The 24216-nt window shown below is 37.0% G+C and overlaps 1 protein-coding gene and 1 pseudogene across 19 annotated transcripts in view; both read right to left on the reverse strand.

Annotated features, from left to right (window-relative positions):
• The window catches only part of CCDC141 (coiled-coil domain containing 141), a 235160-nt gene that overhangs the window by 3123 nt on the left and 207821 nt on the right, over positions 1-24216 (reverse strand). For 3 of the 19 annotated variants that reach the window (XM_047443991.1, XM_047443984.1, XM_011510991.4), the window contains 3 exons: positions 18794-19644; positions 16687-16903; positions 11657-16340 (listed from right to left, as the gene is read on the reverse strand). In XM_047443991.1, the coding sequence (XP_047299947.1) occupies positions 16206-16340; positions 16687-16903; positions 18794-19644 (1203 nt within the window). In that variant the 3' untranslated portion in view covers positions 11657-16205. Of the gene's footprint in view, positions 1-7212; positions 7396-7641; positions 7817-8654; positions 16341-16686; positions 16904-18793; positions 19645-24216 lie in introns of those variants that run through there. The other 16 variants (XM_047443998.1, XM_047443992.1, XM_047443987.1 and 13 more) reach the window with 14 other exon arrangements.
• Positions 13271-13349, reverse strand: RNU7-104P (RNA, U7 small nuclear 104 pseudogene; annotated as a pseudogene).

Consider the following 24216-nt stretch of genomic DNA (forward strand, 5'->3'; position numbering starts at 1 on the left):
CCCACATATGCAATATTTTCAATGTGTTCGTTTTCAGAAGTCTTTCTAAACAATGTCAAATTTCTTTTTACTGCATTCTTACCACCTCCTAATGTCTAGCAATGATCAATAATTCCCCTGACTGAAAAACCAAAAGCAAAAGTAAAAACAAAAACAAAACCCATAAAGGTGACTTTTTAAAATTTTATTTTAAGTTCCAGGATACATGTGCAGGATGTGCAGGTTTGTTACATAGGTAAACATGTGCCATGGTGGTTTGCTGCACCTATTAACCCATCACCTAAGTATTATTCCCCACATGCATTAGCTATTCATCCTGATGCTCTCCCTCCCCCAACCCTCAACAGGCCCCAAGGTGTGTAGTTCCCCTCCCTGTGTCCATCTGTTCTCATTGTTTAACTACCACTTATAAGTGAGAACATGTGGTGTTTGGTTTTCTGTTCCTGTGTTAGTTTCCTGAAGATAATGGCTTCTAGTTCCATCCATGTCCCTGCAAAGGACATGATCTCATTCCTTTTTATGGCTGCATAGCATTCCATGGTGTATATGTACCACATTTTCTTTATCCAGTCTATCATTGATGGGTGTTTGGGTTGATTTCATGTTTTTGCTATTGTAAATAGTGCTGCAATGAACATACATGGGCATGTATCTTTATAACAGAATGATTTATATTCTTTTGGGTATATACCCAGTAATGGGATTGCTGGGTCAAACGGTATTTCTGGTTCTAGATCTTTGAGGAATCACCACACTGTCTTCCACAATTGTTGAACTAATTTACACTCCCCAAAACAGTGTAAAAGCATTTGTAAAGGCGACTTTTATCAAGACTCTTGAATAGAGTCATCTTGTGAAATTCCACTTTCCTCACATATAAGGGAGAAAGAAGGGCAGACAGAAGGAGGAACTTGTTCTTAAGCTACTAAATTACCAAGCTTTACTGGGGATCTGTCTGAGTAAGAGTTTCCAAAGTAAAAAAGCTACATTCTTGGAGACTATTCTAGAGACAGATTTAAACAGAAGTAATAAAGACGACATTTGGAACTACGCATGTAGCCATTGATTGCAAGTGTACTTAGGGGCCTTTTTGCCAAAAAATGATAACCTACACAACTTTTTTTGCTGTCAAATTCCAGAATATAGACTTCAGTCTGTTGAATTTTGCAGGCTTTTATTTGATACATTTAATTGAACATCATCATTATCATTTTGCTGATATGTCAGGGCAGTGGTATGTCAGGAATTTTAGCTCTCATAACAAATTTATTCAACTACTTAAAACTATTTAGTAATCTACCCAGGATAACTAATCCATTTAAGAAGAACAAAAATAAGAAAAAGTTTCAATAATTAAGAAACAGTAAAATAGCTTTGTGAAGAGCACATTATTTGCTGGATTTTATTTTCTGAATTGTACTGACAAAACACCAGTGTGTAATCTTGACCAAGCTTATGCTATCTTGTTTCCTTAAATAGTGGTTCTCAACCAGGGATGATTTTCTGCCAGGGGATATTTGACAATATTTGGAGACATCATGGTTGTTACATCTGAGGGTGGAGGTGCTAATGACATCTAGTGGGTAGAACCCATAAATGCTGCTAAACATCCTACAGTGTATAGGACAACCCCCCAAACACACAGAATTATCTAGTCCCAAATGTCAACCTTGTATCAAGGTTGAAAAATCCTGCTTTAGAGAAATACACCACAAATACCACATTTTCCTCATATTTAAATAATTTTAATACATATACAGATATCTCATGAAACATTCATCTCAAAACCTAAGCAAAATACAGTTTTTTATATAGAACATTTTCTGGTCAGTGTACACACAAGTTGAATGGTTTTTGAAAAGCATTCTACTGCATTAAAGGACATAAATAAATAAATATATTTATTAAGCTTCTCTCACTAAGTAAAGCACACCACTGATACTTCCTCCTGCTTATCTGATACATAAAAGGACATTAAGCCATCATTTCCTGCAGTTTATGTTCCATAACACGGCAGTTGATTAGAAAGATGTAGTTACTTCTGTTTGAAAATGTAGCTGCTGCTCTGCCCTCTGGCTCACTTTGAAAATCTGTGGTTCTGAAAGCTCAAGGTACTATTTTTACTCTTCGTATTTGGCTCTGACCTGTGAGCTACATTCCTGCTTCTCATTTCCCTTGGTTTGGCCACACCGGTGGAGAGTGGGGCTGTGGTGTGTTTTTTTAAGGTTGGGGGAGGGGTTGTAGTTACTCAGACAAGATTCTGATAAGTTCACGCTCAGGGTGGTTTTGACTGAAAACTAGAATTTATAATTTTACAAATCGGATTCTCCTTTTAGATATGTATTTTTATTAAACATATTATATCTTCCCATGAAAACAGAAACATGGCAAATAATAACTGAATATTGTTGGGCATTTAAAAATATTTTTATTGAGGCTCAAGCTTAATTTGGAAGAAAATTGTGAACTATATTCTATTTGTAATTACTTTACATGCAATAAAGTAATTTTTCCCTGAGAATGAGATCTAAAGTTTTCAGATTAAATTGAAATGAAAGAATTTTTTTAAAAAGTTATTAATTCATATGAGCTGTTCTGAAGAAAGCATTAGAAATGTGTTAAAGCTTATTTCAAAAGGGATCATAATAGAAAAATAATTTGACTTAATGTCTATATAATAAAGGCTAAGATTTTTAAATTGCCTGAAACTGGTACTGAGCTCTTCATTAAAGCAGGTACCATGTGCGTGGACATTTTGATAGCCCTTTTTAGAGTGCTACAGTCTTATAAGGGTATCTATCTATGAAGTTCCTCAAGGTTCCACATGTTAAAGATGTCAAAGTGACTTTTTATTTTCTATGTTCTATTATACCACTATGCATTTTTATAATACTCACTGGACACAAAACAAATGTTAAACTAGGTTTGCATTTGTCTAGAGAATGACAAGATCTATGCTGACTTTCTTTTTTCTAACATAGGAATAAATTTTTCATCAACTAGCTATATTCCCAGTTATTTCATCACTCAACAAAGCCACAACTGCATGAAAGGGCTTTAAGCCTGGGACTTTTGGGGGTGAATAAGAGCCTGATTATTTGTTTGGGTATACCAAGTTTTTAGTGAACCATATTTGAAGTCCTACAATCATATATATATTTATATTTTTTCTTTATTGAATAAATAGAATTTGTTATGACTGCCAAAAAGTACACTATTCTGAGCAAACAAAATTATTACCTTATCTGTCTTCTGCTTCCCAGGAAATTTCCTTTAAATTTTGTTCTAAACCTTGACTGTTCTCTTGATCATTTGGCCCCAAACACCAAGTGCTTGGCAATATCACCTGCCTGTTCCAATGAGAAAATCAAGAACACACTGTGTGTTTAATACCCCTTAGAGATCAGTGAGAGCTAGACGCACATTTAGAAATGGTCTATTTTGCACCATAATTCACAGGCAAGGAACATGAGGGTCAAAGATTTTAGTGGCCTAAATCCTCAGAGTTCTTCTGTAGCAAAGCTAGGATTAGAATTTAGGTTTTTACACATGAAAAAATGCTCATCATCACTGGCCATCAGAGAAATGCAAATCAAAACCACAATGAGATACCATCTCACACCAGTTAGAATGGCAATCATTAAAAAGTTAGGAAACAACAGGTGCTGGAGAGGATGTGGAGAAATAGGAACACTTTTACACTGTTGGTGGGACTGTAAACTAGTTCAACCATTGTGGAAGACTGTGGTGATTCCTCAAGGATCTAGAACTAGAAATACCATTTGACCCAGCCATCCCATTACTGGGTATATACCCAAAGGACTATAAATCATGCTGCTATAAAGACACATGCACACGTATGTTTATTGTGGCACTATTCACAATAGCAAAGACTTGGAACCAGCCCAAATGTCCATCAATGATAGACTGGATTAAGAAAATGTGGCACATATACAACATGGAATACTATGCAGCCATAAAAAATGATGAGTTCATGTCCTTTGTAGGGACATGGATGAAGCTGGAAACCATCATTCTCAGCAAACTATCGCAAGGACAAAAAACCAAACACCGCATGTTCTCACTCATAGGTGGGAATTGAACAATGAGAACACTTGGACACAGGAAGGGGAACATCACACACCGGGGCCTGTTGTGGGGTGGGGGGAGTGGGGAGGGATAGCATTAGGAGATATACCTAATGTAAATGACGAGTTAATGGGTGCAGCACAGCAGCATGGCACATGTATACACATGTAACAAACCTGCATGTTGTGAACATGTACCCTAGAACTTAAAGTATAATAATTAAAAAAAAAATCCCTCCTGAAAAAAAAAAAAGAATTTTGGTCTTTAGCTCCTCCAAATAGTAACATTTTAAGAGGAGTAATACAGAATACTCCAATTCTTTAAAACAAGTGCTCCCTTCTCTATGAATACAAGATTGAGAATGGGCTCAAAAGCATGACATTTTATAAAATTAGTGTTCCACTATTTTAATGAGCAATATTTAGGATTTCAATTTACTTGCATAAAGGTACATGATAACCTCAACAAAAAGCCTACATTTACCCAATTAAAAAGGATTCAGATGGCCCTATGTTTCTCAGGGCAACATCAATGGAGGGCCGTTTATCTCATCTATGTTATCTCTAAATGGAAATGTTTATATCAGACATATAAAGGCATATCCATCATTAGAAATTTAAAACAAAAGTGAAGATTGTAATTTATTTTCAGTAACATGTACAGCCAGTGTCATATAATTTAAATATCAATTATACTCTGATTTCAAATATGTCTGTTAATGTTATTAAAATAACCATGTAATCTTTGCACTGTATATGGAGTCTGTTTGAGCCAACCTGCAAAGTTTCAGATTGGTGGAAAAAGAAATATTTCTCCATGTGTCCACATATGAAAAGGAATATAGCACAATGAGAAGCCAGTACATTTGACTGCAGAAAACTGTCTTAACTTGCTTTGATTACTATCCTTCCATAAAACAAACCACTACTCTGCAATGGGATGTTTAATTGGTGTACGTTAATGGTGGTTAAATATTAACCACCATGATTATTTTTTCTCTGAGTTGGAGAAATTTCATTTATTAAGTGCATTTTGAGTCAATAGTTATATAAGAATAAGCATCCTCTATCTGCAAAAGTTTGAATGAGATAATCAGATTAAATTTATTACCTTTAGAGGAACTTAATGTCAAATTATACTTTAAGGAATTCCCAGTAAAGCTAAGAAACAGGCAAGCAAATTCTGTTGTTTCCAGGTATTTAGTAGACTTAATATACATTTTATTATTAGCATATAAACCATTAGCAATAAAAAAGAAATAAACACACAAAACATTTGTTCCCGCAGTAATCATGTATGCTTTAGTAACCTTAAGATATGAGCTAGAAAAATTCATCTTTAAAGATCTAGATTCAGTACTTTTATGGAAGCTTGAAATACCATAACTAATGGATTGAAAAAACCAACAGCTGCTTCTCAACTAAGATTTATGATGTTATGACGTTGTTATTACATTAAAATTAAAGTAACTTCAAAGTTCTATTTAGAAATAATTCTTTTTGGTTTGCTATCAATGAAGAATTTAAATGAATTTATATCTGAGGTTGCTATATGTGTACACCTATCTTAACAATGTTTTCCCCCCTTCCAACAGCTATCTGGAAATCTTGTTTGACATATACAGATTTTTAATTATCTATTTTAAAACTGGAATTGTGCTGAGTCTTTTATCCAGAGCATGCATATAAGTAACTCTCTGTATGATACCACTGTTAAAATGAGAGAAGCTTATTTCTTCATCAAATCTAGGCCATAAGTTGCTAATGGCACTGGCGCCATTAGCATGAGGTGTTTTTCTAACCTGATCACATCATATATCACCTGGGCATTTTATGTATTACTGAATTCATACAAGAACTCATACAGAGAAAAACACACACACACACACACACACACACACGTATAGCAAAGATTCAAATCTCTTGAAATAGTTTGTATTCATTCACAATGATCCTTATGGCATGTAACACACTCTGCTATATAATTTTGATTAAGTTAACCAACAATTTCTTATATTTAAAGAAATGGTATAGGCTTTTCTAATTCTGAGATTCTCTACGAGATGGTATCATTCCGCTAACTGATTTAATTTTTGCCTACAATGGATTAGAGTCAGAGCACAGAGGAATGAAACTCATGTGCCAAGAAAAAGTCAGCTGTGGCCAGGCACAGTGGCTCACGCCAGCATTTTGGGAGGCTGAGGCAGGCGGATCACCTGAGGTCAAGAGTTTGGGACCAGCCTGGCCAACATGGAGAAACACCATCTCTATTAAAAGCACAAAAATTAGCCAGCATGGTGGTGTGCACCTGTGCCAGCTACTCAGGAGGCTGAGGCAGAAGAATCGCTTGAACCCGGGAGGCAGAGGTTTCAGTGAGCCAAGATCACGCCACTGCACTCCAGCCTGGGCGACAAGAGTGAGACTTCGTCAAAAAAAAAAAAAAAAAAAAAAAAAAAAGTCAGCTGCAACTGAGGACCAGCCCCTGTACCTTAGACTGTGCTCCTGACTTGTCCAGGAACATCCTGTTAAACCTGGGCCATCTTTCATGGTGTTCATAATCCATTTTGGGTTCTCAAAGTAAATCAGTATTTGTGCAATTATACAATGTATTGACATAGGTTTGAACAAAACCTATAATAGGTACTTTGTATATCCATTTATAAGTCCTGGATGGGGTCTTTACAGTGCTCTACTGTTTATACTACTATATTTACAAGGCCTTCGATAAAATACAAGTTTAATACTTGGCTTTTGTGGTACATCAGTTAGTTTTCTTTTAAGTAATAAAGTACAATGCCATAATAATTTAGAATATTGACATATAAGACCAAAAATTACTCTCAAGAAAATGTTTAATGTAAATGAAGAAAATAATTATACTTAACATTTAGACAATACAAAACAATTAGTTGCATTGAAAAGTTTCCAGTTAACTAAAAGTGCCAAAATAGCCGTTTGTATTTTATCATTTAATTAATTAACAAACTAAAATATGACTTTATGAAATACTACTTTTAAAGGTGTAATACAGTGGTTGGCATATTTTAGCTTAGGTTTCTAAGAAGAAATCTTAGAAATAATACTAGCAGCCAGGGCCCATCCTTGCTGATAGAAAAGTACATACCCACAGTAGCTACATTCATTCCTGCAGCACAGCAGATGACCAACTGGTAAATCATCCACTCCAGGATGTGATGTCAGAGGCCAAAAGGACTTCTTTTATTTTATTTTGATCATGTTATTATTGGAGAAAGCCCAGCTCAGCAATCCTGTAATTACAATTTCCTTCTATTTTTTCTCTCTTGATCTGTTGATAACGACAATGGTAGTTAATGATCAAATTTGATTTATGTTTCACATCAAGTATTCCCTCATTCTGTTGAGCATCATCTTCTCCAAGTAATTTACCTCTCCCAAATCTGCCCCCCACCCCCCACCCCCCACCAAAATATCAGAGGAAGGTGCAAGAAAAAGCAAGTGTGACATGTCGCAACTAGATTTCAGGTTTCCATAATGTCTGCAACCAACATATGGAAAAGGGGCAATTTCTTACAGCCTGCCTTTGCCATGGTCTCTGGAGATGCCTGATCACTGCACTGACAGCTCCCAACTTTTTCTTGAGTGCAGTTGTTGCAGATCTTCTGCTTTGGTGATTTTGCTATACTCTGATTAGTTCCAAGAGTTTTTTGTAGATTCTTTGGGATTTTCTAGGTAGAAAGTCATGATATCTGTAAATCAAATTAGTTTTCTTTCTTTTAAAATCTTAGTAACTTTTATGTTTTCTTGTCATATTCACTAGTTAGTGTTTCCAGTCAACATTGAATAAGAGTGGTAAGAGAGGATGTCCTTAAGTATGATGTTAGTTACAGGTTTTTATAAATGTTCTTTATCAAGCTGAGGAAGTTTCCTCTGTTACTAGTTTTCTGACAGTTTTTAAAAATTATCATGAATACACATTAGATTTTTGTCAAATGTTATTTCTGCATCAATTGACATAATTACATTATTTTTCTTCTTTTGCCTGTGGATGTGGTGGATTCACTGATTGATTTGTGAATTTTGAAAGAGCCGTATATACCTAGAACAAATCCCACGTCTTGTGTGGGATTCTTTTTATCCATTGTTAGATTTAACTTATTAGTGTTGTGTTGAGGATTTTTGTAATTATATTCATGAGAGATATTGGTTTTTAGTTTTCATTTCTTGTAATACCTTTACCTGGTTTTACTATTAGCATAATTCTGACCCAAGAGAATAAGTTTAAAAAGAGTTCTCTCTGCTTCTATTTTCTGGAAGAGACTGTGGAGAATGGCTATTTTTTTCCCTTTAAATGTTTGGTAATTTACCAGTGAAATCATCTGGGCCTTGTGTTTTCTTTTTTTGGAAAGTTGTTAATTATTGGTTCAATATCTCTAACAGATAAAGGGCTTTTCAGGTTTTCTATTTCTGCTTGTGTGAGTTTTGGTAGTTTGTCTTTCAAGGAATTGATCTAGTTCATTTCAGTTATCAAATTTGTGAGCTTAGAGTTTCTTTCATTTCTATTATTAGTAATTTGTGTCTTCTCTCTTTTGGTTATCCTGGCTAGAAGTATATCAATTTTATTGATCTGCTCAGAGAACAAGCTTTTGGTCTCATTGATTTTCTCTATTATTTTCCTGTTTTAAATGTCATTGATTTACACTCTCGTTTTTAAGTTTTCTTTTATTCTGCTTGCTATAGGCTTAAACCACTTTTCTTTCTCTAGTTTCCTAAGGTGACAGCTTAGGATGATTTTAGATTTTTTTCTTTCTAATATATGCATTTAATGCTATACATTTTCCTCTACACACTATTTTTCTACATCCCACAGATTTTGATAAGTTATATTGGTAATTTCATATTTTTCAAAATATCTAAAAATCCTTATTGAGATTTTTTTGATCTACATGTTATTTAGAAGTGTGCTGTTTAATCTACAGGTATTTCTGGATTTTTGAGCTTTGTTATTAATTTCTTGTTTCATTCCATTGTGGTCTGAAAACCTGCTTTTGTATAATTACTATTCTTTTAAATTTTTAATGGATGATATATGGCCAAGAATGTGGTCTATCTTGGAAAATGCTCCACGTGAGCATGAGAAGAATGTGCATTTTGCTGTTGTTGGATGGAATATTCTATGTGTCAATTAGATGAAGTAGATTGATAGTGCTGTTTAGGTCATGTATTTCCTAATTTTTGACTGTTAGTAATCCCATTTTTTGAACTTCTCTATTCTCCTTCCTTATATTGTATATATTCTTACTTTGGTTATATGTCTAAAGACAACTTTCCTTCCCCCTCCCTCGACCCCTGTTGTGAATAATTTCAGCTTCCTCTAGAACTCTTTGCACCATAGTGCACTTAGGGGGTGATGTTCACATAGAAGATGAAAAGTTACTGATGGACTGAAATGTACTAGGGTGATCCCTTCAAATCAGCAAGGAAGCTGAGGTATTCTAGCACACCCCAGGAGTGCTGGTTTGAAAGGCTGGCTGGTGTCTAGCAATGGTCTCTGGGAATTTTATTACCAGAGACTTGTATTGGTTCTTCTAAAACATGGTCATTGTAGTAGCTTCCTAGGGCTGCCATAACAAAGCACCACAAAGAGGGTGGCTTAAAACAACAGAAATGTATTCTTTCATCGTTCAGAAGGCTAGAAATCCAAAAGTCCAAAGTCTAAGCCAAAACAAGCATTCTCTGTCCAAGGGCTTTAGGGAAATATATTTCCTCACTTCTTTTAGCTTCCAGCGATTGCAATCTCTGGTGCACCTTGGCTTATAGCAGCTGCATTACTCCAATCTCTGCCTCTGTTGTCACGTGTCATGTACTGCCTCCTCCCTGTGTGTCTCCTCTGTGTCTCTGTGTCTGCCATGGCCTCCCTTTAAAGACACCAGGAAATGGATTTAGGGTCCACCTTGACACTACTGAACCCGGTAGAGTCCTCTTACTGGGTAACAAAAATTGTCATGTAGAAACATTTTATTGTGGTCTCTAACTTCTCGGGGAGTTCCCTAAAAACGTTTCCAGAATCCACAGGAAATTCACACAGACAGAGAAGCTGAAAGCCAAAGCTGACACTCAGCGTCCTCACCGTGTTGCGTAGCCAGTTTATCCCTTCCAGTTTTACATATCCCCAGTCACCACCCCTAAGTGGAACATAGCATACAAATCTTTCAGCTTTCCATAGACCCCATTTTCTCACCAGAAATTATGTTCTTTGGGTGGGGAAGCATTCTTATTTAATCTACTAACCCAGACCAGAATGTGATAAGAAATACTGTTACTCTTGTAAGAGTAATAGAAATGAATAAAAATGCATTTTAAAAGGCACCTTCTGGAGCTGCATTCACTTGAATCAAAGGCTGACCCTGCAGGGTTGGCACGGCAGCAGCTGCTAGAGGAGCGGTTCTGGAGCAAATGGGCATATTCCCCTTTCTGACCCTGCCAAGTAAGTGGTTTCCTACCTTGTCTGCATTTCCAGCTGACTCTGTTTTCCAACAGCTTGTTTGTGTGTGGGTGTGCATAATACTTATTACAAAGCGAGGTGGCTGTCTGCCATCATTAGCATAATATGCGTTGGAGACAATTTGCCATGGATAAAGTAGGTCCCTTTATATTTCACTGATTTTTTTATACTCAAAAGATTTTATTGCATGTTTTTTTAAAATGCATACATAAGATAAAAATACCATTTTGTAGATGCTTGAATCAATAAAGTTCTTGTAAAAAGAACTGTTGTTGAATGGGACAAAGGAAAAGGATTTCATTTTATTACCTAGTTCTGGAGCTGCTATTTTACAAGTATTGATGTTTACATGCATTCTAAATGGAAAAAGAGCCACGGCAAGCAGCCATGAGAATACAGATAGAAAACTTCATGTTATGTAACTATTATTGTTCTGGTTTAAAGAAAAATTGGATTTGATCTATTTTTTTCATCTACTCCTATGGTTAAAATATATTTTGATTTCACCCAGTTTTTATTGTGCTAATTGGGAATACACACACATTCTTGTCTATACAATTATTTCTGCACTCTTGCTCTTTAAGGAAGATAGGAAGTTAATTTTGTGGTACAAAAAGGAGGATCCAATGAATCCGATTTGCCATGTCCTGGGTTACACAAATGAAACTGCTGTTGAACAGAAGGAAGAGTGAGCAGGCCAAATGCTCAAACTCTCAACACAAAGGCTTGTTCACCCTGAGGAGGGTCATGCCTCCAACCTGCACTGATGCTCAGATGGTTCATGATGTTATACAAACTCTCACCATCAAAAGGAACAGTGCTGTGGAGATTCATGGAAAAAGGCCAAAATCACAGCTGTGTGCTTCCTGTTTTTGAGGTTGAATTCATGCACAACTGATAACATTCAAATCTCATCTCCTGTGATAAGCACAGAGAAAATGAATTGTTTTTGCTTTAAAAAGGACACTTTCATTTAAGTCAACGCAAATCTTTTAGCTTTCCAATGCAACTCAAGATTCCGCTTATTATAAATGGAAAACAGTCTGTCATGCCTTGGCATTTACATTGACACAATATCAGAGCATACTGGAAGGAGATATTTTATTTTGTTTCAACTAACTTATTTCATGGCTGCACTTAAAATGCTGTGCATACAACAGGAGTTTCAAAAGCTTCAGATGGTGATTTTTAGTAAGAAATGGTCATGAATAAAGACAAACATAAAGCAGAACAAAATAAGATATTCTTTCCTTTCTTCATTTGGAATTCAAATACTCTTAAGTTCTTGGATTTGGCTTTCTTTATATTTACAAGTTTGTATGAAATACTGGTTTCAAATAAGATCTGTTCACAGCCCAGACTACTGAGCCCCAGCTACAATTAAATATTGATCATTTACGTAGTGTTCTAAAGAAGTACATAAATTCTGGTTTTGACAGTTTGGATTTAGTCATAGAGAGTGGAGGCATCCAGTTCCTCATACCGGATGATGATTTATGCCTAAGTACATATGTTTTAAAATGTTGGAACACTTTAAAATGTTGGAACAATATTGATCCAGGAACAACAATCCTGGACCTTTCCTCTTTCCTCCTTACTATTATTTTAGTCCGTGGAGCCAGCATCTATTTTTAAATTCAAATTTTCAATCAGGGTCTAGCCCAGAGGGTCTGGAGGGTTCTCACACAAGTTTTGCAGATGAGGTGAGAGATTTTCATGAGTGCTTCATTGTTAGGGCCTGATTCGGATTGACTCCTGTCTATAAGAAGGGAGAATCATCTTTGTCTTTTTACATTTCCCCTCTCCTCCCTCTAAAAAGGGGAGAAAAACAAGCTAGGTTTATCTTTGTTTACCTTTGGCAACAATTCAATTCAAAAGAGTTTACTGAGTGTGACTGTGTCTTAGGTACTGGCAATACAATGACAACAGGGCTGTCATGAATCCTGCTGATAAGGTTCTTACAGCCTAGCCAGAGGAGACTGATGCTCAAACCTGCGATTCCTTTGTGTATATTCAGGGGCGTGGCTGGGCAGTGCAGGTGCTGACAGTGCACATGGCAGGACCATCTACTCTGGACTTGATGGGTCAGGAGGCTTCCCAGGGGAAGTTGTGTCTCAGCAGAACTGGAACATAAGCAAGAGTTAAGTCACATGAAGATAGGGTGGTGAAGATAGTAAGAGAGTTATAGGAAGAAAGGGCTGGAGAGAAGAGCATGATATGTTAAAACCCTGAAGTTAAATGTCACTTTACTAGGGGTTGGGGGTAATAGGAGGGGATCAAACCGAGGCCAGAGAGGGGAGGCCAGGTTGTAAAGGGTCTATGAACTACTTGAGGAAATTTAAATTTGAGCAAAGCAGTTAGAAGGGTCTTGTAGTCATCTATTTTAAGTATGTGTCTTGATTATGAGTGATAGAGGTTACCATTATTGATTAATATAGCTAAAAAATTTTCTGCATCTTGTTCAAATATTTTAAATATCATAGAATATTCAGAGATTCAAATGTACAGATTCCTACAGTAAATTTCTCTTGGAATTGAGTGTGAAAAACTACCACCAAATATTTATACATCCTTTTATTGGAAAATCAAAGCTGGAAAACTCAATGATTTTGCCTTATGAAAACTTAAAAACATTTTGTTTTGCAGTTCTTCAAAGTATCAAGTATTTATAATTTGTTTAAGAGTTTAGAAGTTTTAAAACGTTTTCTGGTGAAAATCTTGAGTTTAATTTTCACCAGAAAACCTGCTAGACAAATTCTAAAAGAGCTGTAACACATGTAATTTTTAAACTTTCTTTTCATTTTAGTTTTCTTGTTGAAAATGTTTTGATATTACTAACCATTCAGGATTTTCTCTAGAAGTAAATGGTTATAAATTATGTATATACCTTAAAATAGAAACAACACTTAAATTTCCTAGGTCTTACATTTTTAACCAGTAACTGCAATTGATACTTTCATAAGAATAATTATTTGCTCAAGACAGAAATCCCAGCAAAAAGGAAAATCACACTTAACTTTTTGAAATTAAAACATAACCAGAAGAATAACTGCGTAATTATTCTTTACTGCTGTGGGAGTCAATCAATAGCCCAGATGAATAGGTAGATGGATAGGTACACAGAAAGCTATCTGTACTATATCTTGAATATCAGCATAGTACTCTTCTGATCTTTGTGCTCCCCCACCCCCACCTTTCTCTTTCTCTCTCTCTCTAAAAATGGATTTTGCATGCTTTTTTCCATCATAACCATGGATGCATATGTATCTCATTCTGCTCCCCAAAGAGTTAACATGAACAAGCATGCAATAGAGAAAGCAAACCAGGAATTCCCATGCCCTAACAACCCCAACACACAAATTCAACCATGTTGACAAAATGGGAAGGGAGATCCTGCCAAATTAATAAGAAAGAGAAAGTGGGAAGAGAGACAGTTTGTTACCGGGTCTCACCTGCCTTCTTTGTTCATGAATAGGTTTTTACTCTTTAGCTTCAACGTGGGCAACAGCAGTTAGGCAAGATTCACACATTATTTGAAATTGGACAAAAAGGATACAAGAGGCCGGCTATGGTGGCTCATACCTGTAATCCTGGCACTTTGGGAGGCTGAGGCCCAGCCTGGCCAACATGGTGAAACCTGGTTTCTACTAAAAATGTAAATATTAGGTAGGCATGCCTGTAATCCTAGCTACTCAGGAGGCTGAAGCAGGAGAATTGCTTGAACCCGGAGGTGGAGGTTGCAGTGAGCCAAGATGGCACCACTGCACTGGGCAAGAGAGCAAGACTCTTTCTCAAAAAAAAAAAAAAAAAACAAAAAAAACAAAAAAAAGATAGTTAAGAGAAATTTCCTAGAATGCTGTGTATACAAGCTTTTAATATAGTTCTATCAAAATTTAGAAGGAAACTGAGATTTAATTTTTTAATTAAATTGGATATGCAGCCCAAGAAAGTATACGCCAACTTTTTACTTGACTACACATTTCACATCTTCAGATAACATTCAGTAACTTTTTAATAACAACTTGAATACATTACATTTAAATATTTTGATTATTTGTAGACAGTCTTCCAGCAACATAATTAATTTCTTCCCTTCATCAAAAATCTGTAATGAATTATTCTTTCAACTAAAGATTTTCCTCAGCATAATAAGACTACATTTAAAATCTAAGAAGCAAATGCTTCCCTACTTCAAGCTTATTTTTAAAAGGAAGCCAAAAAATGATCTTTTCTGAATAAAGTGTTTCAGAAAGGCATAGAATACTTCAATATTATAGTAATAATTATTGTAAAAGGATAGAATTCATCTCATACCATTCTATTACGTTTCCCCCTAGAACAAACAAAATGTATCCTCCTGAGTTTAATTTCAAGTCTTTGAAAAGAATGCAGTCTTCAGAAATTAGATAGGAATTTAAGCTCTAATTCATAAAACATCACTTTCCTCCATGGAACTAGTTGAAGATTACATATTAACAGCACTCCTTTAATTTAATATTCTAAAAAAACAGCATCTAAAAAAAAAGAAATAGTGAGCAGGAGGCCGGTCTGATGACAAATTACATTAAACAATATCATTATCCTTAGCCCTCAGTGTTTTCCATTTTCCAGATGTTTAAAAGACACAAAATGAAAACTCTCAATTGCCCAAGAGGTAGATGATGAACTCATTTTCCAGACAGGAAACTGAGGCAATGAGGCTTTGCCATAAAGTATAAAAATGGTCATCAGCAGAATCAAGATTAGAAGCAGAAACACCTGGTTACACATTGCTGCTCAAAACACATCAATAGAATGTCAGGAATAACGTTGGTTCTTTCTTGCAACCTGTGTTCCATCTTGCTGTATGACATGCAGAGCTGACAAAAGATGGAAACTCTATTTAAAGTTGATGGCACATCTATCCTCCAATGTCAAACCCGTGAGAGCAACATGAGGAATGATTATTTACAATGACATCATCAGACTCAGGAACGTAGTCTACGTTGAAATTACACAGAATGCATTTCGGTAACAAGATCAAGACATGGAAAGCAAAATTAAAGGACAGCTAATGCAAAAATACAACATCAATTCAATAGTTCTACTGATATTCCCTACAAAGGGATGTTTTAAAATACAATTAAAAATATATTATTGAACAACCATATTTGAAATTTAGCACATTTCTATGCCGATGTCAGCCTTCATCTGCACGCCCTTAAATTAGGAGGGAATAGGCATAGAATAATTTTGCTGCATATTATGTTGAAAACATCTGTTTCTAGAGTACAAAAATCTGTTCTTATCCACTACAGATAATTTACCAAGCTTCTCAAATATATTAAACGCTCCAGAAAATTTGATTATTTCACCTAGCAGTGGTATTAGCCAAACAAGTATGGTGATCAGACTGGAGATACACTTGGTGGGAGATGCTTTGCAGGAGGTGCAGGAAGATAAACGGCGGCACTTTTCTTTAGGCACATGAGAATGATGTCCATTGGTGCCAACACCACAGTTATTGTGTGAGGAGCCAGTACATTAGGGACACACTAACATAGACGACACACAGGGTTATCCAGTTTACTCTTGTGATTGGCAGCCTGCAGTTACCTGTCACGTGGAGGATGACATTGGAAGAGAGAGCGCCGCTAGAGTTTTGGGCCCGAGCCACATAGAGGCCTGCGTCTGCCTTGCATACCTTTGGAATGAACACCGAATGCCTTGTCTCCTTGTGTAAAACCTGTAAGTGCCCATCTGCAGACAATTTCTGGCCCTTCTTGTACCTGAAGCAGAGAGGCAGTTTTTAAAGTCAGGATTGCTGTTTATTCACATTATTTCCAAGTTCTAATAATGCTTGCAAATAGGCCCATTACCACTGCAATATTCTCTTAGGATTAGTAGGAACCTTGTAGCCACAACAAATTCCAGTGGGGCTCTTTATCTTTTTTTCTTTAGTAGGCTAGATTGCAGTAGCAGAATCAGAGATCATTGCGGTCTCAAACTCCTGGGATCAAGCAATCCTCCCACCTCAGGCTCTCAAGTAGCTGGGACTACAGGCGCTTACCACCATGTGCAGGCTAAGTTTTTTATTTTTTATTTTTTTTAAGAGATAGGATCTCGCTATGTTACCCAGGCTGGTCTTGAACTCCTGGTTTCAAGCAATCTGCCTGCCTCAGCCTCCTGAGTAGCTGGTATTATGCGCTGTTTATCTTTCAAGCAGAAGTTGGCAACTGGTGGCGAGAGAATTGCTTTGACTGGCTCAGACAATGTTTTTGGAAAACTGAATTTTTTGAAATCCTTTAAAAATTGGAATATTGCATATGAAAATTCAGATATCCAGCTACCCCTAAAAACAAAAACAAAAACAAAGCAGACCATTTGGTCACACTAGGCCACCATTTGCTCATAGTAACAATTACCTAGGGTGTGAAATGGCACCCTCATGTTGTCCAGCTTTATTCTTTTTGCCACTCTGGAACAGCAGCTGTGACTCCTTATAAACTGCATGGGAGTGAGACTCATCTACCCCATCATATTCATACCACAGTATCCACAGGACAATACAGATGTGCTGTTTTAGAGGACTGTACTTAATATCACCTCCTGATGAGATCACTTCATTTAATTTTTTTGAAGCAATTTCATTAGAAGAAAATGACTTCTAATTATAAAAGGTATTTATGCAACTGTATTATGACTATTAATAACATATTTCTAGAAGGTTCCTATGAACATGAGTGCTTAACTGCATGGTTTTATAAAGAAATAATTTTATTTTGTATGTCTGAGATTCTTGTTTATTTATTTCTACCCACAATCTATCACTCAGGGGTGATGACAAATGTGAATCGTTTTCTGTTCCCATTGCCTAAGTGATAACTTTGCCTTTTCTTGGGTATCCTAAGAATGTATGATATCCTGAAAGCTTGTCAGTTATTAATTGAGCACAGTTGTAAATCTGACGACAAAACATTTGTTTACAACATTGCAATATTCTTCAACGACACGTATGTAGCAGTGCTTCTTTAACCACACACATACTAACCAAATTATTAATATTTACTGTGTGGACAAAAACAAGAAACACATCTGACAACATTTTTCTTTGGAGTGAACTGAGATTTAATAATGAATTAAATATCTTTAAAATTCATAAATATGACACTCTTGATTTGTAAAAAACATGCAACAGTAAAGACAATAAAACAAAAAGCAAAAGTGACTGCACTAATATAGCACAAGTGCAGTTTTTTAAATAATTTGAGAAACCAAAGTTTTCTCATAAGTTCCTTAGATAACTGGTTCATATTTCAAGTACCATCAATGGGCACACACAATAACTGAAACTGATCATTTAATATCTACTGAAACATTGTGATCAATAAATGCTATTTTACTTAATCTTAGTTTATAAGTATAAACTGGCTTTTGCAGATTTGTAACTTTGTCCTGAAATAAATTTACTTAAGGATGAGAATTTTCTAAATGTTTAAAAGTAACCCACATATTGAGAAAGAACTGCTTTTGTTACCAATAGTAGGTGATCCAAAACCAGTATTCTACAGTTTGCTTTTACTGAAAAAAAGAGGCTAAAAAATAATGATGTCTCCAGAGTGAAATCATATTGTTTACAGCTCAGTTATTATACTACCTTTCAAAAATGAGTTTATTGCCTGTCACCTGGAGGAACTGTGACAGAAATATTTATATTCCACCTCTCACATTGAAAAAATTTGTAAAAAGAAATCCTAGTAAAACAAAATGTTACAAAGATGACACGTGTGACTCTGTTGGAAAGAGGAAAAAGATGAAAGAGGTAAATGAGAGTAAAGGGAAATAAAAACAAATTCTTATATTTTCAATTGCATAAAGGTAGTTAAAGCAAGCAGATGCCATGCTTATATGGAAATAGACAATAAAAAATAATTTCAACCCACAATCTTTAGAAATGTGGAATGTTAAACACAGAAGAAAACAAGCACAACCAACCTACAGTGCTTTGGAAATTTGTTAAATTATTAGTACTTTATATGGTTACCTTTTATTTTTCTTAAAGGTATTAACTATGCTGCTACTAAAATGAGAGGGGTCTGATGTGAGATTGAATCATGCAGAGTTGCAGTGTCATAGAATATTAATCAGCTAGCCCTAAACCTTTCAGTTAGTGCTCACAGAATGATTTTTCTCTGTGATTGAATTTGTTTCCATTTATGGCTTGTCATTATAGGCTACCCACCATGTCAGTGTAGGCTCTGGAAATCCTGTTACTTCAACTTCCAAAGTCACTGGAGAACCTTCCATGACAGTTACATTAGACAGGAGCCTGGAGAAATTAGGTGCCTGGTCAGCTAGGCTGACCACGCTGCTCTTTGCTGATGTGCTTTTAATCTCTTCTCGAGGAACCATTTGCCTCTGATAGCCCCTGCTGGTGCCTGATTGAAACCTGAGGCCCGAGAATGCATCAGAGGAAGCATGCAGCCTATCTTGGGTTTTAGTGAAGTTATTATCAGCATGCATTTTCTCCCGTGTTTCTAGCAAACCACCCTGAGCCTGAGGGTGCTGCTGTAAAGCTCTCTCATGCACTTCACTCATCATGCTCTCTGGATGTTCAGCACTGATTCTGTGTAAGGCAGTACTCTTTTCCACGAATCCTCTGGAGGTTAGTGGGGGCTCAGCTTTGAACTGGAGGTAAGGCCTCTCAAAATGACTTGAAAATGTTTCTCTCTTATCATTGCATGCATCCGCAAAGGCAACAGGTGGTGGAAGAACAGATTCCTGGGCATCCCCTGGGCTGCTGGTCCCAGCCTGCACCCCATAGCTGCTTATGTGAAGGCTGAGGGAGGAGCTGACAGGCTCTTCCACCTCCATGTCAGATGGTGCAAGAGGGGACTCAGGGCTTCCTGGGAGAGGAGGCAAGGAGATGTCATCAGGTGAGACACACTCATATTCTTCCCCTGAGAGCATGTCTTCAGGCAGGAGCAGGTCCTGGACGCCACCCTCCTTGTCAGTGGACACCTTCAGGTCTTGTGGTAGTCGCTCTTCCCCTGTTCCATTGATGCCCAAAAGATCTGCCACCTGCACCTGCCCCTTGAAAAAAGAAAAGCCAAATCATCCTTATTCATTCATTTTTCTTTTTCCAGTTTCAATTACAGTAAAACTCAACTTCAGAGAGATAACTCGAGACAACCTACAAGGTTAAAATTTAGGGGGCTGGAGCAAGAATTACGGATGAGAAACCATTTGTCTGTCGATCCTGAGCACAGTCCCACTTCTCATGACTAAGGAATCATTATAAAGACCTCAAGTTCTGAGTAAAGTGTGATAGACATTGTGAACAGAAGAGAGAAAGCCCTAGTTTCCATCTGTAGTGAAGGGGTTGGACTAGATCAACATCTTTCAAACCATGATCTGGGGAGTCTTCTCAAACAGCAAAGTCAGCTTAGGTCTGGCTTGTCTACACACACATCTATAAACACACAGATGCTGACCATCAGAGACTCCCTTGTTAGGTGATTCCTTGGACTCTCCCGGAATAACCTGTCCTTTCTCTCAAGAAAACCATTTCTTTTTAAAATAAATTGTAGTGAAATATACATAAAATGTACCACTTCAACCATGTTTAAGTGTACGGCTCAGTGGCATTAAGTGCATTCACATTGAGTGTAACTATCACTGCCATCCATCTCCAGAACTTTTTCATCTTTCCAATTGAAATTCTGTATCCACTAAACACTAACCCCCTAATCTTTTGTCTTCCCCCGACTCAGCCTCTGGCAACCACCATTCTATTCTCTTGCTCTATGCATTTGACCCCTCTATGTACCTCATATAGAGAAAGCAATTCTTCATGACTAGTTTTATTTTCTTGAAGTCCCTTAGTTTATTCTTGCATTGAAAAAATATTTATTGAGCACCTACTGCTATACACTAGGAACCATGCTAGTATTAGAGGCATAATTTGGTGAATACAAGTAGATCAGTCTCTGCAGTTGAGGAGATGATATCCTAGTGGAGGAGCCAGATATTAATGGAACAATCAGACTTGATGGCCTTTCCCAAGAGAGCACATCAAGATACAATAGGAAAGCACCTGCCACTTGTCTCTGCTCCAATCTGAGTGTAGTCCTGCTAGGAGTGGTGAGTAGCAGTACTTCTTTCTCTGCTTCCACTGTCCTAGTCTAATCCACATCCATCTCTGGTTTAAGAAGAGGCTCAAATGTCCCTGTTGCATAGACTCAAAAGAACATTGAAGCTGAAAAGCGATCTTATCTATCCCCACCTGCTGGTTTTATATCTCCTTTCTGTGCCGTTCCTCAGCATTTTGGGTGCCTACTTACTTAGTATGTACTGGTTTTTGTCCTGCAGTAACTGATGCATATAGGAAAGTCACATCTTGCCTTGCCTTTGAGTTTTTCATTTTAGCCCGTAGTCCTGCTGTTGATATACATTTTGTAAGTGATTTTTAAGAAAATAAGACTGGGTGCGGTGGCTCACACCTGTAATCCCAGCACTTTGGGAGGCCAAGGTAGGGGGATCACAAGGTCAGGAGATAGAGACCATCCTGGCTAACATGGTGAAACCCCACCTCTACTAAAAATGCAAAAAATTAGCCAGGCGTGGTGGTGCGCACCTGCAGTCCCAGCTACTCAGGAGGCTGAGGCAGGAGAATCTCTTGAACCCAGAAGGCAGAAGTTGCAGTGAGCCAATATTGCACCACTGCACTCCATCCTGGGCAACAGAGTGAGACTCTGTCTCAAAAAAAAAAAAAAATAGCTATGTGTGGTGATGGGTGCCTGTAATCCCAGCTACTTTGGGAAGCTGAAGCAGGAGAATCTCTTGAACTCAGGCAGAGGTTGCAGTGAGCCGAGATCGAGATCGTGCCATTGTACCCCAGCCTGGGCAACAAGAGTGAAACTTCGTCTCCAAAAAAAAAAAAAAAAAAAAAAAAAATGTGTTTTCAGGTTGAAGAGTCGAAGCAAAGCAATGTTGCTTCTACTATCCCACAGAGATTATCTCTCCTCAGAGAAACATTAACCCAACTTAGCGAAAGTGGTTTCCTTCAGCCATTTACTAAAAGTTTAAATTCTGAGTCTAAAACCCAGATGTTCTTAGAAGTTCCCCTCATTAAAAAGAATATTAAATTACTAATTGCCCCTCCCTCTTTTGGCTGTCGTGCCACAGCTTAGCTCGGTCTCTCTGTCCATCTCTTCATGAAAGTAGAATGCTTATTTTCCTCCTTATGGGGACTTTGATTAACCACCTATTCAGTCTAAGAATCTCCACTACAACATTTTGGCAGCCTCTATTTGAACACTTTTTCTGAAAGAGTACTTTGAGAATGTGTGCCTTACTTGTGTTAAGAATATCTTCCTATATGTAGCAAAGATCTGCCTTCCTGCAGTTTCCACCAATGGATCTGAATTGGCCTCCTGGAGCTACACAAAAAGTCCAGCTGCTCTCCAACTTTAATAGCTCTTTGACTGTTTGGAGAATTGGTCCTACAACCTGTCTAAGCCTCTTTCTCTGTACCAGACACTCTCAGGTCTTCTTTTGCCTCAACTCTCTCTCATCATCTTGGTCATTTCTGGGAGGTCCCACTCCTACTGCGCCACAAGATCCTTCATAGAAGAGCAGGGACATTTGTTGACTTGTTGGCCTTCCAGGGGCAGACAATGACAACTCCTTAATGACTTCTTCAGGTAACCTATGACTCTCCACAGAAGAATAATGTTTTAGAATTGTCTGAAAACTTACAACAAGCTTAGGAGAGAAACTTGAATACAAGTCCAGACCCATCTCCCAACTCCTCAATCCCTGCTGGGGAGGAATTTATTTCCTAATTGAGGGTTTGGAAGAAGGTACTGAGCATGCTCAGATCTGTCTCTATGAGGCCCTCACTTTTGGATTTGCCTTTCATGAAATGCATGGGTTCAGGTTGGCTCTAAGGCATGAAAATCCCCCGGAGGTGAAGTCTGTGGTCGTCTAGATGGGCACCCAAGTGGACTGGGTACATATTTAATCTATTTAAATCAGGCATGAAGTTTAGGGAAACCCACTAGAAAAGTCCAAGCCATCCAGCTTTAACTGGTTCCTGACTCCTGTATCTTACTTTCAGCTGGTGCCAAACACATGAAAGGAATATAAGGCTATCATTTTTTCACTTCTAACAATTCCTAAAATAGAAAAAGTACTTTCCTCAAAAAATAACACTACCCAATAATTTCTACTATCAATAAGAGGAAAAGAGTTTTCTCAAATCTTTTTCTGGAACCATTTAACTTCCCATTAAACATGTTTGTTTCTAGAGTTGTTTACTTTCCAGATGGTAAGTAATCAGTGGAATCATCATCTTCTTGACTTATATGATATGTTTTTATTAAGGTGATTGTATTAGTTCATTTTTTAAAATAAAAATCACATGGGACCATTGACTTATGCTGAATTTGTAGTCAACTAAAATGTCCTACCTCCTCTGTCCATTAATGCTATTGATGAAAATGTTGAACACTGCAGTGTTTAGAACAAAGTTAGATATCTCCACAAGACAGATTGTCTCCAAAGTTGACGTTGATGAACTACTTAACACTCTTGAGTACAATTATAACTTGGCCAAACCCTCATTCAGTACACATTTCTCCACTTATCTTAAGAGAGCATCATAAGTGTGTTTATCAAATGACATCTTGAAACCATAATAAATTATGCCTATGGCACTAACCTAGAATTACTCATTAAATAATCATCTCGGGAAGCAAGATAAGGTGAGTTTAATATATATGCAAGTGGTCTTCTGAGTAAATCAATTTGGCTCTTGGCACTACTGCTTTTATTCTTAAATGCAAAATCGAATGCATTAAATTATCACAGGTACTTCAAAACTATGTACATCTATTATGTATCATATAAAAATTAAAAAAATTAAAAATGCAAATAAGATTTCCGTTTTTAAGTCATTATGGAATTTTATGGAAACATTATTTTATTTTATTCTCATTTTTATTTTTGAGATGGAGTTTCACTTTTGTTGCCAAGACTGGAGTGCAATGGCACAATCTCGGCTCACTACAACCTGCATCTCCCAAGTTCAAATGATTCTCCTGCCTCAGGCTCCCAAGTAGCTGGGATTACAGGCACCCAGCTAATTTTTGTATTTTTAGTAGAGACGGGGTTTCACCATGTTGGCCAGGCTGGTCTTGAACTCCTGGCTTCAGGCGATCTACCCGCCTTGGCCTCCCAAAGTGCTGGGGTTACAGGCGTAAGCTACAGCACCCAGCCAGAAACATTATTTTAAAACTCACTGAGCTATATTTTCTAGAACTGTCTAGTTTTCAACTATGAAAATGCTATCCAAACATTTACATATACTAATTATTTGTTAATATTTTTTCACCATAAAACCATGTTTGTTATTACCAAAAAAAAAATGTGTGTGTGTTATTTACCCAGAAAAGTTTAAATAAATTTATGGTTTTCAGTACAGACAGGGCATATTTACATCAGTCTAATGAGTTCTGGCAAAATAGCTGGGAAACTCTGATCTAATTCACCAAAACATAGCTCAACTCTCAATCTGCTTTTCTTATATCAAATTGAGAGGCTGATCTTTGTCTTTTTGTTGATTCCTTTTTCTTTTCCCACCTTCTAAATATATGAATGGCC

The sequence above is a fragment of the Homo sapiens genome, chromosome 2 (genome assembly GCF_000001405.40).
Source record: "Homo sapiens chromosome 2, GRCh38.p14 Primary Assembly".
Classification (NCBI taxonomy): domain Eukaryota; kingdom Metazoa; phylum Chordata; class Mammalia; order Primates; family Hominidae; genus Homo; species Homo sapiens.